The 2,934-nt window shown below is 31.0% G+C and overlaps 2 annotated features.

Annotated features, from left to right (window-relative positions):
• Positions 1,298-1,951: an enhancer, noted in NCBI's record as "OCT4-NANOG hESC enhancer chr8:76888521-76889174 (GRCh37/hg19 assembly coordinates)". NCBI's record gives its function as "activates a minimal SCP1, AML or CMV promoter by ChIP-STARR-seq in naive H9 embryonic stem cells {active_cell/tissue: H9 hESC(naive)}" and the evidence as "EXISTENCE:reporter gene assay evidence [ECO:0000049][PMID:30033119]".
• Positions 2,139-2,734: an enhancer, noted in NCBI's record as "OCT4-NANOG hESC enhancer chr8:76887738-76888333 (GRCh37/hg19 assembly coordinates)". NCBI's record gives its function as "activates a minimal SCP1, AML or CMV promoter by ChIP-STARR-seq in naive H9 embryonic stem cells {active_cell/tissue: H9 hESC(naive)}" and the evidence as "EXISTENCE:reporter gene assay evidence [ECO:0000049][PMID:30033119]".

Raw genomic sequence — 2,934 nt, 5'->3', positions numbered from 1 at the left:
CTACTGAAGAATGGCTGAGTAAGCCTCAACCAATTTAGTTATAATGTAAATTCAATAAATACAATTCCATAAAATAGTAATTCCAGGTCACTTATTCTGTAATATAAAAAAAATTGCACGGAAAAAAGTCTCAGATATTGTATTTTACTAAAATTAAATGCACATAACTATTAAATGTTTTTTAAATATATGGAATACTATTAAATTGGTGCAAAAGTAACTGTGGTTGTTGCCATTAAAACTTTTGCACTAACCTAATATAAATTGTAATGCATATATAGCATACAAAAATTATTTGATGTAGAGAAAAATAATGGCAGGCACAGTATTATAATCTAATTTAATTTTCCATTGTATACTTTGAAGTTACTTTTAGTAATAGTTGTGTGATAACTACCTTTACATGCCTGGAAACCATTGTTGCTTTTTAAAAAGATATTAAATAAGATAAAAGATGTGAAACTAGGCATATCTATAGAATAAAAACCATAGAGCTCATATATTACACAGCTGTGTAACTTTGATGAGGGAGTTGTATTGAAACTAGCAATTTATATAATCTATATCCTTATAAAAACTCTTTGTGGTATAATTTTGCACTTCACCAAAATCTCATTTTGAAGAAATATTAAGATTTCAATATGTATATTTTAAAAGACCTGTTCATATTTTATATATGGAATTTTAAAAGCACTAGGATATTTAACAAGATAATAAGGAATTTGGTTAAAATATTATTGTATATTTAATATACAGTTGGAGAGGTAGAGAAATAGCAGATGCCTCAAATCTACTTCATTTTCTTAATCTTTTTGTTTTAAATTTCCCAATTTCTCAGTTGATTATTTTAGGAAGAAACTTCAAAGATGGAGCTGATATCTTTGAAGCATCATATGGGAAACTGACTCTGAATAGCCCTTTTTACAAAGCCTTGAATCTAAGATCTCACAAGTCTCAAAAAGAAAATGACCCTGCCTCTGCTCCTTACACAATAAGGGTCAGACACAGTTTTGCATTTACAATATAGTTAACTTTGTAATTCTTCTGCATGCTGTGGCACATTTAGTTATTATAATAAGCTGAATGATGTTGAGCTTGCAATTTAGAATCTAAGTGAAAAATTTTAACATTTGCCAATTTGAAATGTACATCTCATCAAAATTTGAACTTGTTCATAGAAGAGCTGCTTCTTCTGCATGCCAGACCATTTTTCTTATTAAGAATGAGCTGTTAAGTAGATAAAGAGAAAATCATTTAAAATAGACCAGGAAATAGAATTGGCATTTCTTATGTTGAAGAAGTGAAGGAATGAGTTCTTGGTCCAATATTCATCTCTTGAATAAATTTCATCGCAAGCTGTCTTGACATAAGCATCTGCATTCCACTGACCTTTATTTTGTAGTCTAGAGAGACTGAGACCACACAGAATTGGTGCTGTTATAGCTAACTGTACTTAAACTTTGTGTCTGATCAACTTAAGTGTATTGGATTTGAAAACAGTTAGTCAATTGTTTCTAGTCCCTAGGTGGTGGTTTATGGTAATGTTTGCATCAATACTAACAAAAGCCATACCACAGTACAAAGTACATCAAGGAAATGAAAGACAAGGCTGCCTGTTGTCAGTTCTGTCTACAATAAAGGCAGGATTCAGAGCCGGGGCAGAGATCGTTAGAGAAACACAAAAATGAATGAACCACAGAAATCGTAGGGCTGATGGTTCACATCAAAGGTTTGGGAACTGGCTAATGGGCAAGGTTGCACACAGGCCACAAGACATATACCCTGGACTCATTTGGCCATACAGAAAGGTCACCAAAAAGAGGGGAAAAAGCTCATAAGATAGCATAAAGCAGTCTTCTGTAGAAACTGTGTAAAGAGAAGGAAGAGGAAAAAAGCAGCATTACCGTCGCTGTGTAAACTATATCCATATCAAATGGTATTTCTGGTGAAAAAATCTATTTATATTTTTATGTCAGACATCAAAATTCCTAATATTGAGAAATATAATATGATGCTTTATATTTGCTGGAGTATTTTCCTTCCACATAAGACCAATAAAATGCATAAAGGGTCAATTCAGTAAAATTTAAATCCTTTGAGCCTTCTCTTGTATAAATAAAATGGTACTAATCATTTTCTTAATTGTTTCAAAGAATCATATGACTGGAGAACAGTGAGTTGTATATGTAAGCAGATGTGTACAAATAGAACAATAATAACAGAATTGATTTTGATATTTTTCTCGCTTTGTATCAGCTTATCATGTATAATTTTAAAAGCACAATTAAAGGAACTAAATGCTACAATAATATGACATAGTCATACAATGGCATCTATTAACGTAAGAATGTAGTTATCCTTTATTTGAAGCCTAACCTCCAGATACCTGCTGTGCTGCTAGATGCTAGAATGTCAAAGAAAAATAAGTGAAAGCATATCTCATCATGGGGTAAATTGCCTGTTGAAAAGAAATGTACTTAGTTTCTCATTTGAATGCTGCTTTCAGTTAAAAAATGGGAAGGATTGTTATCAAGGTAAGGACTAATCTTTCCTGACCCAAAAGAAAGAGATAGAGAGAGAACAGAGAGAGAGATAAAGAGAAGGAAAAAAAATAATGTCTATTTCAACAAAAGCATCAATTCAGAAAAAAAAATTAAAAACAGGCCAATAATGATTTTCATTATACTTTATGCCTATTTTTAAGCTTTTATTGTCAATTAATACAATGTAAAAATCCACTTCAAATTGAAAAAATGTGCAAAATTGGTGATTTCTATTATGAAAAGTATCTGTTGTAAAGTTCTATGTGATTCTTATAATCCTATTTAATCACATATACCTGAGAATTATTCATAATATGTGAAATATATGCCAAGCTATACCTTATTATCTTAATGACACATATTTGTCATATTTCAAATGGACAGGAATCCC

The sequence above is a fragment of the Homo sapiens genome, chromosome 8, assembly GCF_000001405.40.
Source record: "Homo sapiens chromosome 8, GRCh38.p14 Primary Assembly".
NCBI classification, from domain to species: Eukaryota; Metazoa; Chordata; class Mammalia; order Primates; family Hominidae; genus Homo; species Homo sapiens.
Note: the sequence above shows the minus strand (reverse complement) of the source record. Positions and strands in the feature narration are given on the sequence as shown.